Raw genomic sequence first — 14,351 nt, 5'->3', positions numbered from 1 at the left:
TTTTCTTTTCTTTTAGTTTCTCTTCTTAATTTCTTATTGTTCTTTTCTTGTCTGACTTTTGTTATACAGTAATTCTGGCCTCATAAAATAAGTTTGGAAGTGTGTCCTACTTTTCATTTTTTTTTGGAAAAGTTTGAGAATGATTGGCAATAAGTCTTATTTAAATGTTTGGGAGTATTTACCAGTAAATACATCTAATCCTGTACTTTTGTTTGATAGGAAAATTTTTATTACTAATTCATCTCCTTACTCATTCCTGATCTGTTCAGATTTTCTATTTCTTCATGATTTACCCTTGGTAAGTTTTATGTTTATAGTTACTTATTTATGTCTTCTAGATTATCATATTTGTTGGTGTATAATTATTCATAGTATCTTATGCTCCTTTTTATTTCTGTGGCATATCCGTTGTAATGTCATCTATTTCATTTCTAAATTTATTTATATTCTTTTTCCTTTTTTCCTAGTTAATCCGTTTAAATGTTTGTCAGTTTTATCTTTTCATAACCCAACTCAGTTTTATTGATTTTTCCTATTAAGGCTCTAGTCTGTATGTCATTCATTTCTGTTCTGAGCTATATTATTTTCTTCCTTTAACTAAATTTGCACTTGGTTGTGTCTTCTTTTTCTAGTTTCTTGATGTCTAACGTAAGGTGGTTTATTTGGGATCTTTTTTTTTTCTTTGAAGTAGGCATTTATTGTTATAAACTTCCTTCTTAGAACTGCTTTGGCTGAGTCCTGTATATTTTGGTACGTTGTGTTTCCATTTCCACTTGTCTGAATATATTATTTAGTTTCCCTTTTAATTTGTTTTTAGATTCATTGGTTACTTAGAGGAATGTAGTTTAATTTCCACTTATTTGGGAATTTCTGATATTTCTCCTATTATTGATTTCTAGTTTTATACAATTGTCATGGGAAAATATACTTGATATAATTTCAATCTTCTTAAACTTATGAAGACTTGTTTTGAGCCCTCACATATGACCTATCCTGAAGAATGTTCCATGTGTGCTTTAGAAAAATATATATTCTGCTGCTATCAGATAGAAGGTTTTGTATATGCCTTTTAGGTCCATTTGACCTAAAGTATAGTTCAAGTCCATTGTTTCCTTATTGATTTCTGTCTGTGATCTGTTCCTTGTTGAAAATGGGGTATTGATATTCCCTGTTATTACTATACTATAGTCTATCTCTCTCTTCATGTTTATTAATATTTACTTTATATATTTAGGTGTTCCAAAGTTGGAGTGCATATATATTTACAATTGTTATATTCTTTTGATGAGTTGATTCCTTTATCATTACATAATATCATTATTTTTTATTATACAACCATCTTCACAACTCTCCCATGGAGCATACTAAATGGTGAGATTCTTTACAGTATCTAGGGAAAATGCAGCAGGATAGAAGTCCAAGTCAATATCCAAAATGAAATTGTCTTCAAAGACACAATCAACCTTGATGGAATCAATGACAGCCCAAGCACTTTTGCTATGACTGTTTTCATAATCAGGACATGGAATGCAACAATATGGAAATCTGAGTGATGCCAAACCAAGCTACTGTCAGCTGGTGAGTGAAAGAAGCGTAAAGGATTCATTCCACATTCATGCTCAGATGACAGAGAATGAAGAATATAGCAGTAGTGGTGGAGATGGAGGCAGTGAAGAGGACTTTTCTACAAACACCAAAGCTGTGAACAGAAAGACTATCTGGTCGTCAAACTTTCATACATCAGCTTGGCCTAACCCAAGATGATCCACAGTGGTTTGGAGAGTGATGATATGCAGTGAGATGATGTGCTAGACATCACTTCAGATGACTATGACTTCCCTCACTATCATATTGCAGATTTCCCCCTTGACCTCTAGAGCCCAAGGGTGCACTGGGCCCAGGTGTCCATATGAACTTCTCTGTCCCAGCCGAGGGGCAGTCTGTCTTAAAGACAAAAGGTGCCGAAGCCAGAATTTGAAATTGAATAAATGTTCTGAGAAGCACAATTGTTGTGACGGCATCTTTCAAATCTTTTTTTTTTTTTTTGGTGAGATGAGTGAAAATTTATGTATTTTATCTTAAAGATTCTCTGCTTATAGGTTTCCCTCAGAGAAATTCTGAGATATTTGCAATTTCTTACTAGATAAAACATCAAAATTTTGCCCTGATTCCCTCTCCTTTCTCCCCTTCCTATTTTTTTTTTTAGTTTTAATTTATTGGTTAAACTAATGGTAGCAATCTTTGAGGTATGTCAAAGAATGTACATAGGTATGTGTGTATATTATGTACGTGGTAACATATTACTGAAGGAAACATTTTAATAAAGATTTCTGCCATATTTTCAAAAACCTTCTGGCTTCAGATTCTGGGGCAAGAAGCTGTAAGAAAATTACTTGGCAGCTGTGTGCATTAATTGGAGCTCCAGTGGGGATATCTTTCATTGCTACCACTGCTATTCCTGAAATGGTCATCAGCATTCCTGTTTATGTTGACAGGAAGATTCACTGCATGGATAAAGGAAAGCAAACCTCCAACACAAGAGAAATTTGGCTATCACAGGAGGAATGACTTTGTCAGTGATTGCATCCTCAGTTATTACTGCAGTTAGTATTGCTTTTGGCATCCCAATTATGCTGGCATATGTTAATGTGACTGGCTAATTTGTCTCTCTCATGGAGGCTGCTGTGGTGTTAGCACAGTTGACCAAAAGGGAAGGAAAATTCAATCAAATGAAGATTATTTTCCAATCACAATGTCAGATGCCTGGGAAGCCCTCAAGGGTCCAAGCACTGGGGAAAGCAGCAATGAAGGCCTGACTAGTGTATTCAGCACCAGTGGAAGCCCTACAGATGGACCCTGGATTAGTCATGTCCCTTACAGTAAATCAGCTCATATTCTTATGTATGAGGTCTATTTTGCTGCTTAAGCTCATCAGATTAATATACCGCTTTCAACTTCTACTCCTAAACAGAAATTGCTTCTTAAAAGTACTGTTCTACTTTAGTGATGTACAGTTATCTAACCAACACAAGACATTCAAACAAAACATGCCTTAAAAAATTTAATAATTTTCCATTATTTTAAAAGAAATGCAACAGTGTGTCCTTAGGCTTTATTAACTTGTGCTTCACGACAGTGTAACCTTATAAAATTTGTTGAAAAAGTAAGGAAATCACTCCTCTACTACCTTCGTTGCTGAAGAAAAGCACTTCTTTCAAAATTAGAGGCTTGCATTGAAGAATAAAAATAGTAAGAAAAAATATATTTGCAATAAAATAAACAAAAATCACTGCAGTGAAGAAATTATTGTGCATGAATATTGCTCTCAAGGGGATTCATCTACACTAATCAGGCTTTTCCACCTCTCACCTATCAGAACTATCCTGCTTTCGGACTATATAAATACCCAAACAGATTTATCCACTTTGTTTTCTTCTCTATTTACTCTCTCCTTTATTTTTGACTCTCGTTTTCTCTACCTTTTGTTCATTTTATCTAATAATCAATATTTGTTCCTTTTGCTTTTTTGAAAGCGTGCTGTATAGCTTCAAATTCACAGAAACAACTAATCCAAACCATGACTTGATAGTAACTTTGTGAACTTAGACAAGTTGCTTACTTTAATAGATCTAATTTTCATCCTCTTTAAAAGTACAGATAATAATATGTACTTCGCAAGTTTGTTGTAAAATGTATAAGAGATAATGGATGAACACATGTGGCACAATGCCCTGTACAAAGTTGATGCTTAATAAATATTAATTTAGGTTCTGTGGTAAGCAAAATAATGCCTGCCCTCAAGATGTTCTTGAAAGTGTACTACACATTCTTGTAGTCCTGAAATGTGTGAATATGTTACCTTACATAGCAAAACATGATCTCGCAAAGTGATTAAGTTAAGAAGTTTGAGATGGGATATTAGAATATTTCAGTGGGCTAATGTAATCACAAGGGTCCTTAAAAATGGAAAACCCTTCTGGTTGAGGAGTGAGAGTTAATACAGGAAGTCAGGAGAGATGAAGCATAAGAAGAATTCTATACACCACTGCAGACTTTGAAGATGAAGGGGTCCATTATTCAAGGAATGTGGGTGGACTGTATAAGTTGAGAACAACCCCTGGCTGGCAGCTGGCAAGGTACACAGCCTTGCTAGTATCTTGATGTTAGGCTGGTGAGACTGTATGGTTTTAAGCTGCTAAGTGTATGGTAATTTACTTGAGTAGTCAAAAGAAATTAATAATTTTTTTCTCTTTTCGTACCTCTTTTTCTTTCATTTTGGTAGTAATTTTATATATATTTTATTTTGTAGAAGCTCACCAAAATATGGTTAAGTTTGAAAAATATAAACAATTACTTGTATTAGTATTAAAGATTTTATTAACATTCATGGCTTTGAGTAATCAAATATAAGAAGTAAATTTTAGAGAAATTCTTAAGCCTTTATAATTTTTGGATATTTCATCAGTTAAACATCATTGCACAACAACTACTTCTACACTCAATAGCCAAAATTAACAATTTATTTAACTCACCTTTCTGTAGATCATGATTTTAAAATGGACTTAGCAGGTGATCCTTTTGACTTTTTCATGACTCTCTTGTCAGCTGTGTTTCAGCTAGGCATCTGCTCCCACAGAAGTCTTCAGGATGTCGGCTCTGCTATACTGAGTTTCCTTTATATAATCAATCACCCTCCAGCAGGCTAGCCTGGGCTTGTCCTCAGGGTGGCAGAGTTTCAAGATAGAGGAAACAGGGAACGACTGTTGAGTCCTAGGTTTAGAATTTACCCAAGTTCCTTCTATTGCATTCTGTTCTGCAAATAAGTCACAAGGCCAGTTGATATGCAAGGCTCGGGGAGATAGACTATATCCCTTGACAGGGAAAACTGCAAAGTCAAATTTCAAAAGACATGGATAGAGGAATGTATGGGAAATTTTTGCTATCAGTCTACCATATGCAAATATCACGAATTTTGTTATTACATTATTAATGAGAACATATTAATTCCTTAATGTGACAGAACAAATAGGTGTGCCTTATTTATTACTGGTGAAAAGTACATTTTATCTATATGTGGATGATATTTGGAAAAGTAATCCTAGCAAATATTTGAAATAAATGATAATCTACTGTATATAAGATAGTATTATATGCTCAAATTCTTTATTATAAGTTGTTTATTCAAATTCATATATTTTCTAGTTCAAGTTTCTACGTAAATGTTAAGAAATATCTATGAAGATGTTAAACAATTGTATTTTGTAAGATGATAGAAGTTAATTGTTATTTTGTTATCCAAAGGAAATTTTAATTCTAGAAAACTAATTTTAGGAGAATCAATAATTAAACATTCTTAATATGTAACCCTGTATTATTCTGTAATTTAAACAAATAGACTATTTAACTATTAAGACAATTTCAATATAATTACCTTTTTAACATTTTCATATGGAAAGGTCAAACATATACAAAATTGGGATACTCTTATAGACATCAACATATTTATTCTTCATCCTCAACAATTATCAGTTCCTGGTCAATTTTATTTCTCATATAATGGCCACCCTTTTATTTTGAAGCAAATACCAGACATTATTATCAAACAACCAGCATCGGAAGTTCTGGACAAACATTTAAAAAAAAAAAAAAGTGAAACTGACTAGATTTAACACACCAAAAGGTTGAAAACCAAACTACAATGTAAGATTCCATCCATAATTTCCATGGACTTTGAGTAGCACGTTTATGAAGCAGATTTAAATATTAACTCAAGGGCTCTGAAAAAGAAAGTGCCTTTGGAATAACAGCTTACAAAAGTGAGAGAAGACCTTTGGTCTAAACTTGAACAGGATAATTGCCTGCCAAAATAGGACATTTAAATAAGATCCAGAATCCCCTAATATAAGATCTCAAATGTCCATACTACAATTAAAAAACATTTATTTTACTTAGAACCAGAGCATTCATAACTTGAATGAGAAACGAATCAACAAATACAATGGTAGTTGATTTTCGGTGTTAAGTTGACTGAATTAAAGATTCCCCAAATATCTGGCAAAGCATTAGTTATTCTAAATGCTTCAGGAGGCAGTGAGCACATCCATCTTCTGCTGAAAGGGGAACTCAGATAGTCTGGTTGAATGATCAGGGACTTGGAAGAAATACGAATGGAAAATTGGTGACAAAGAAATTTTGGGAAAAGGTAGACCTTTCCGAGTGGGCAAAGAACTTAAAGGTAATTGTGTCCCATGTAAATGCTCACCAAAAGGTGACCTCAGCAGAGGAAGAATTGAATAATCAAATTGATAGAATGACCTATTCTGTGAAATCCAATCAGCCTTTTTCTTTAACCAACTGCCATTGTCCAATGGGCTTATGAACAAAGTCAGCATGTTAGCTGAGATGGAGGTTATGCCTGGGCCCAACAATATAGAGTTAAAATCATCAGGGCTGACCTGGCTATGGTCATCACCTAGTGTCCAATCTATCTGCAGCAGAGACCAACACTGAGCCCCCAGTGTAGCACCATTGCCCAGAGTATTAAGCCAGCTACCTGGTGGCAGGTTGATTACATTGGACAACTTTCATCATGGAAGAGACAACGTTTTGTCCTTACTGGAATAGACACTTAATTTGGATATAAATTTACCTTCCCTCATTCAATGCTTTGACAAAACTACCACTTGTGGACTTACAGAATGCCTTATCCATCATTATAGTATTCCACACAGCATTGCTTCTTAAAAGTAATTCACTTCACAAAGAAGTGTGGTAATTGACTTATATTCATAAAATGCACTGGATTTACCATGCTCCCCATCATCCTGAAGCAGTTGTCTTGATAAGACTATAAAATGGCCTTTTGAAGGCACAGTTACAGCACCAGATAGGTGGCAATATTTTGCAGGACTGGGCAAGGTCTTCTAGAAGGCTTTACATGTTCTGAATAAAAGTTCACTATATGGTACTGTTTCCCCCAATTGCCAGAATTCACAGGTCCAGGAATCAAGGAGTGGAAATAGAATGGCACCACCATCATTCATCCTAGTAACCCACTAGAAAAAAAAAATTTTGTATTATTTCTGTGACTTTATGCTCTGCTAGCACAGAGGTCTTTGTTTCAGAGGAAGGAATGCCTCCACCATGGGAGACAACAGTAATTCTACCAAACTGGAAGTTAAAACTGCCACCTGGCCACTTTGGGCTCCTCATGCATCTAAATCAACAGGCTTACAGGGGAGTAATGGTGTTGGCTGTAGTGATTAATTCAAACTACCAAGAATAAGATTGGACTACTACTCCAGAAGAGAAGTGAGGGAGAGTATGTTTGGAAAACAGTAGATCCCTTAGGGCACCTCTTAGTATTAGTATGTCCTGTGATTAAGGTCAATGGGAAATTACAACAACCCAATTCAAGCAGGACTACGAATGGCTCCGACCCTTCAGAAATAAAGGTTTGAGCTGAGCTTGGTGGCTCATGTCTGTAATCCCAGCACATTGGAAAGCCAAGGCACAAAGATCGTTTGAGGTCAGGAATTTCAGACTAGCCTGGGTAACCTAGCAATACCCCATTTCTACAAAAATAAAAATGAAAAAAAAAAATTAACCAGGCATGGTTCTGCGTGTCTGTAGTCCCAGCTACTCAAGAGACTGAGGCAGTAGGACTGCTTGAGCCCAGAGTTTAATGCTGCAGTGAGCTATGATCTCAGCACTGCACTCTAGCTTGGGTGACAGAGTGAGACCCTGTAGAAAGAAAGAAAAAGAAAGAAAGAAAAAGAAAGAAAGAAAGAAAGAAAGAAAGAAAGAAAGAAAGAAAGAAAGAAAGAGAGGAAAGGGAAGGGAAGGGAAGGAAGAGAAAGAGAGAAAGAGAAAGAGAGGAAAGGAAAGGAAAGGAAAGGAAAGGAAAGGAAAGGAAAGGAAAGGAAAGGAAAAGAAAGGAAAGGACAGGAAGAAAGAGAAAAAATAGAGAAAAATAGAAAGAAAGTAAGTAAAGGTTCGAGTCAGTTCACCAGAAGGTAAAGAGAAAGAAGGAGGGAAAGAAGGAAGGAAGGAAGGAAGGAAGGAAGGAAGGAAGGAAGGAAGGAAGGAGAGAAAAAGAACAGAGAAAGAAAAATAAAGAAAAAAAGAGAAAAAGAGAAAGAAAGTAAACGTTTGGGTTACTTCGCCAGAAGGTAAAGAGAAGGAAGGAAGGAAGGAAGGAAGGAAGGAAGGAAGGAAGGAAGGAAGGAAGGAAGGAGAGAAAAAAATAGAGAAAGAAAAATAGAGAAAAATAGAAAGTAAGTAAAGGTTTGGATCAGTTTCCCAGAAGGTAAAGAGAAAGAAAGAAGAAATGAAGGAAAGAAGGAAAGAAGGAAGGAAGGAAGGAAGGAAGGAAGGAAGGAAGGAAAGAAAGAAAGAAAGAAAGAAAGAAAGAAAGAAAGAAAGAAAGAAAGAAAGGAAGAAAGAAAGGAAGAAAGAGGGAGGGAGGGAAGGAGAGAGGAAAAAAGGAAGAAAATAAGTAAAGGTTTGGATCAGTTCACCAGAAGGTAAAGAATCATGATTAGCTAAGGTGTTTGCTGAAAACAAACAGAATACATAATGGATATTAGAAGGTAGTTATAAATATCAGCAATGACCATATGACCACTTATAGAAACAAGGGCTGTATTTTCTTCCTATTTTGTTAGGAATATGTATGTTTGTATATATACATATATTAAGAAAATATCCTTGATAGATACATGTAGAGTTCTATCAATATTTAAATATTTCTAATTTTATGTCATGGTATTTAAGTTACAGAATATCTGGAGAAGAATAATCATCACTCAAGGACTTTATCTCCTCTTCTGGGGAATATATTAATGCATTTTTGTTGTATTCAATATATTTTCATCATGCTAGGTGAAACTACCACCTTGCTATTGCCTTTATTTCAAGATTAAGTATGGTTTAAGGAGAGGCATATGGTGCCAAGTTGACAAGGGATGAACTTGTGATGATTTATTTTGGGTGTCAACTTGGCTGGATTAAGGGATATTCACTAGCTAACAAAACATCACTTATTCTCAATGCTTCAGTAGGCATTGAGCCCATCCCATTTCTGTTGAAAGAGAATCCAGGTGGTTTGGCATTTAGTTAGAGTGGTTGTGCTGTCCCAGTTGGGTTCATGAGAGTATTTCTGCTGGAGATTGGACATTGATTGGGTGGACTGAGTGGGAAGAATTGCCCACAATGTGGGTGGGCATCATCCAATCAGCTGAGTCCCAGAAGTAACAAAGAGGTAAATTGGAACTTTCTTCCTGAGCTTGGGTGTTTTTCTTCTCATGCTCTTGGATATCAGAACTTCAGGTTCTCCAGCTTTTGGACTCTGGGATTTGTACCAGCCACCTCCCAAACTATCAGCCTCGGAGAGCTGCAACATCAGCTTCCTTGGTTCTAAGGTCTTTGGACTTGAACTGAACCACACTAAAGATTCTTTGGTTCTCCAGCTTGCAGATGGCTTATTGTGGGAATTCTCAGCCTTCATAAACAAGTGAGCCAATTCCTCTAATAAATTCCTTCTCATGTACATCTCTTGACAATAGGACCTACATATCCTTAGGTTCTACACCTACAGACACAGAGTGCTTACTGTTCTATGCTATTTAATATAAGGGACGTGGGTATCTTTGGATTTTAGAACCAATGCCCTGCAGATAGTGATGGACAACTGTATATATGTTCAGTGGGCTGTGTCTCTCTGGAAAACCCTGACTAAAACACATATCAAGCTTGTTATGACTCAGATGGTGAAATTATCTGAAAAGGATTTTAATGCAACCATCAAAACATGCTTCAACAAGCAATATCAAATTCACTTAAAGCAAATGAAAATATTTTAACAATTCAAAAAAGAAATGAAGTTATAATTATAAAAATAATCAAGTGGAAAATATAGAAGAAAAAAATGCAATAATATCAAAAGCAACAACTTACTGGATTGGCTCAATAGTAGAGTGGAGATAACAGAAGATAGAATCAATAAATTTGGACGGGGTATGTTGTCTCACACCTGTAATCCCAATACTTTGGGAGGCCAAGGCAGGTGGATTATTTGAGCCCAGGGTTTGAGACCAGCCTGGGCAAGATGGCAAAACCCTATCTCCACAAACAATGCAAAAAATTAGCCAGGCATTGTGACATGCACCTATAGTCCCAGCTACCTAAAAGGCTGAGATAGAATTACTTGAACCTGGGAAGTCGAGGCTACTGTAAGTGGTGATTGTACCACTGCACTCCAGCTTGGGCAACAAAGTAAGACAGAGTCTTACTCAACAGGCTGAGAAAAAAAAATATTCTGTCCCAAAAAAAAAAATCAGTGAATTTTCAGACAATATAATTGACATAATCAATATAATTTACCTTATCTAAATAACAGAGAGGAACTAGACTGGGGGGAAAATAGAGCCTCGGGGATCTATATGACAGTAGCAAATGATCTAACATGCATATATTCTGAGTCCTAGAAGAATTTACTGGAAAATTCTACTAAAATTTAAATAAGAACTAACATGAATTCTGCCTGATCTGTTCCAGGACATTAAAAAATAAGGAAACATTTCTAACTCATTTTATGAGGCCAGTATGCCCTGATAGAAAAATCAGACATATTTTTAAAGAGACAAACCTACATACCTATATCTCTCATAAACTTTGACAAAAAAAATCTTCAACATAAGATGAGCATGTAGGATCCAGCGTTATAGAAAAAGAAAATATACATCACAATAAAGTGGAGATTGAGAATTGCAAGGTCGGTTTAAAATTCAGTAATCAATCAGTATAATAAATGATATCAACAGGCTAAAAAAAACCTGCAGTTAGCAGCATATTTAATGGTGAAAAACTATCTTTTCTTACACTAAAAGCAAGCAAGGATGTCTGCTATTGCCACTCATATGAAACAGTACTGAAGGTTTAGCCTGAACAATAAGGCAAGAAAAGAAAAGAAAAATCATGAAGATTATATAGGAAGAAATAAAAGTATTCCTATTTAAAGATTATGTGGCTATTTATTTAGAATATTCTAAAGAGTTCTTTAAACATATGTCCTACTAACATTAATAAGTGTGTCCAAAAATATTGAAGGACACAAGACAAAATCAGTCATATTTTTAAATACTATCAATTGAAAACATGGAAAGTGGAGTTAAAAATGTGACAGTTGTAATTATTCCCCTGAAATTAAATCCTTAGGTATAAATCTAATAAAATGTCTACAGTATCTGCATAATGAACATTGAAAAATGCTAATACAATAAATAAAGGAAATGCTAAACAAATGGAAAGACATACCACGTTCATAGATTGGATGACTTAACATAGTAAAGGTGTTAATTCTCCACAAATAAATCAATAGATTTAACACAATTGTGAATAAAAGTCAGGCAAGATGTTTTGTATATAAATAGACAATTATAGACAAGCTGATTTTAAAATTTAAGTGAAAAAATCAAGCAACAAAATAAATGGAATAATTATTTTTAAATGTAGAAGAAAGTGGAAGCAATCACTCTACCTATTATTAAGATACAAACATAGTGACAATAATCCAGACAATGTGATATCAGTGGAGTCATAGACACTTAGATAAAGGCAATAAAATAGTGAATCTAATAACAGACTCACCAACTGTGTCAACTGATATCTGAGAAAGGCATAAAAAGTTTTTCAGTGGAGCAAAGATGGTCTTTTCAACAATAATGTTGAAAGACATTCATATGCAAAGAAAATAAACGATCATTGACTTGAGCCTCACATACTGTACAAAGATTATCTCAAAATGAATCATAAACCTAAATGTAAAGCTATAATTTTTTTCAAAAAATCACAAGTAGAAAGCTTTGAAACTCATGGTTACTCAGAGTTCTTAGCCATAACACCGATAGGGAAGGAAAGATATCTTTATTTTGCTTATTGATTGGTTCATGGCTGAGGCCTCTATAGCAAAAGACAGGTTAATCAGAGAAAACATAATGATGATTCAGTGAAACAGGTAAATTTTTGTATTTTTCTGCTTAGGTTTCATGAAGAGTGGACAGTTCTAGAAAAATACGATTGGAGTGAAAAAGGATGTGATCTACTAGTAACAAACTTGGGTGGGGGTATTTAACAAGGCTTCTTTGTTATTCTTCTCAGGATCTTTAGAGATAAAGATGTTCCTTTCCTCCACATACAGGGAGGACAGTTTTCTAATGAGGTTCTTATGATCTGCTTCAGGGAAGATGGGTGGCAGAAGGTCAGAGTTACTTTCCTAGGTTTTATGACCTAATTCAGAGGAAAGGGTTAAGAGAAGGTAAGAGTGGTCTTCTTGCTTCTGCTGTTTTCTCAAATGCCAAAGGTGCCATATTTTGGGGTAGTGTGTTCTGAATTCTATTAAAACAAATTAATAAAGCACAAAGAAAAATGAAATAAATTGAACTTCTGAAAAAGATCCTGACAATTGAACAACAGAATTAAAAAAGCTGATAGACTGGAAGAAAATATTTGTACAACATATATCTGACAAGGAACTTGTATCTAAAATATATGGAGAACTCTCAAAACTTAATAATAGTAATGTTAGGGTGGCAATTTTAGATCTTTCTTGCTTTCTCCAGTGGGCATTTAGTGTATAAATTTTCCTCTAAACACTGCTTTAGCTGTGTCCCAGAGATTCTGGTACATTGTCTCTTTGTTCTCATTGGTTTCAAAGAACTTATTTATTTCTGCCTTCATTTCGTTATTTACCCAGTAGTCATTCAGGAACAGGTTGTTCAGTTTCCATGTAGTTGTGCAGTTTTGAGACGGAGTCTCACTGTCTCCCAGGCTGGAGGGCAGTGGCATGATCTCAGCTCACTGCAAGCTCTGCCTCCTGGGTTCACACCATTTTCCTGCCTCAGCCTCCCGAGTAGCTGGGACTACAGGCGCCCGCCACCATGCCCAGTTAATTTTTTGTATTTTTAGTAGAGATGGGGTTTCACTGTGTTAGCCAGGATTGTTTCGATCTCCTGACCTCGTGATCTGACCACCTCGGCCTCCCAAAGTGCTGGGGTTAGAGGCATGAGCCACCACACTTGGCCTTGAGTGAGTTTCTTAATCCTGAGTTCTAATTTGACTACACTATGGTCTGAGAGACTGTTTGTTATGATTTCCATTATTTTGCATTTGCTGAGGAGTGTTTTACTTCCAATTATGTGGTCAATTTTAGAATAAGTGCAGTGTGGTGCTGAGAAGAATGTATATTCTGTTTATTTGGGGTGGAGTGGTATGTAGATGACTATTAGGTCCACTTGGTCCAGAGCTGAGTTCAAGTCCTGAATATCCTTGTTAATTTTCTGTCTTGTTGATCTGTCTAATATTGACAGTGGGGTGTTAAAGTCTCCCACTATTATTGTGTGGGAGTCTAAGTCTCTTTGTAGGTCTCTAAGAACTTGCTTTATGAATCTGGGTGTTCCTGCATTGGGTGCATACATATCATATATATTTAGGATAGTTAGCCCTTCTTGTTGCATTGATCCCTTTATCATTATGTGAGGGCTTTCTTTGTCTTTTTTTGATCTTTGCTGTTTTAAAGTCTGTTTTATCAGAGACTAGGATCGCAAACCCTGTATTTTTTTTTCTTTCCATTTGCTTGGTAAATATTCCTCCATCCCTTTATTTTGAGCCTATGTGTGTCTTTGCACGTGAGATGGGTCTCCTGAACACAGCACACTGAATGGTCTTGACCCTTTCTCCAGTTTGCCAGTCTGTGTCTTTTAATTGGGGCATTTAGCCTGTTTACATTTAAGGATAATACTGTTAAGTATGAATTTGATCCTATCATTATGATGCTAGCTGGTTATTTTGTCCGTTAGTTGATGCAGTTTCTTCACAGTGTCAATGGCCTTTACAATTTGGTATGTTTTTGCAGTGGCTGGTATTGGTTTTTCCTTTCCATATTTAGTGCTTCCTTCAGGAGCTCCTGTAAAGTAGGCCTAGTGGTGACAAAAATCTCTCAGCATTTGCTTGTCTATAAAGGATTTTATTTCTCTATCACTTATGAAACTTACTTTGGCTGGACATGAAATTCTGGGTTGAAAATTCTTTTCTTTAAGAATGTTGTATATTGGCCCCCACTCTCTTCTGGCTAGTAGGGTTTCTGTAGAGAGCTCCACTGTTAATCTGATGGGCTTCCCTTTGTGGGTAACCTGGCCTTTCCCTCTGGCTGCCCCTAACATTTTTTTCCTTCATTTCAACCTTGGTGAATCTGACTCTTATGTGTCTTGGGGTTGTTCTTCTCGAGGAGTATCTTTGTGGTGTTCTCTGTATTTCCTGAATTTGAATGTTGGCTTGTCTTGCTAGGTTGGGGA

General features: G+C 35.7%; 1 pseudogene; it reads left to right on the top strand.

Annotated features, from left to right (window-relative positions):
- RNF19BPY (ring finger protein 19B pseudogene Y-linked) lies at positions 1,336-2,341 on the top strand (annotated as a pseudogene).

This window comes from Homo sapiens, chromosome Y (assembly GCF_000001405.40).
Source record: "Homo sapiens chromosome Y, GRCh38.p14 Primary Assembly".
Classification (NCBI taxonomy): domain Eukaryota; kingdom Metazoa; phylum Chordata; class Mammalia; order Primates; family Hominidae; genus Homo; species Homo sapiens.
This window is presented reverse-complemented; position numbering and strand designations above follow the sequence as displayed.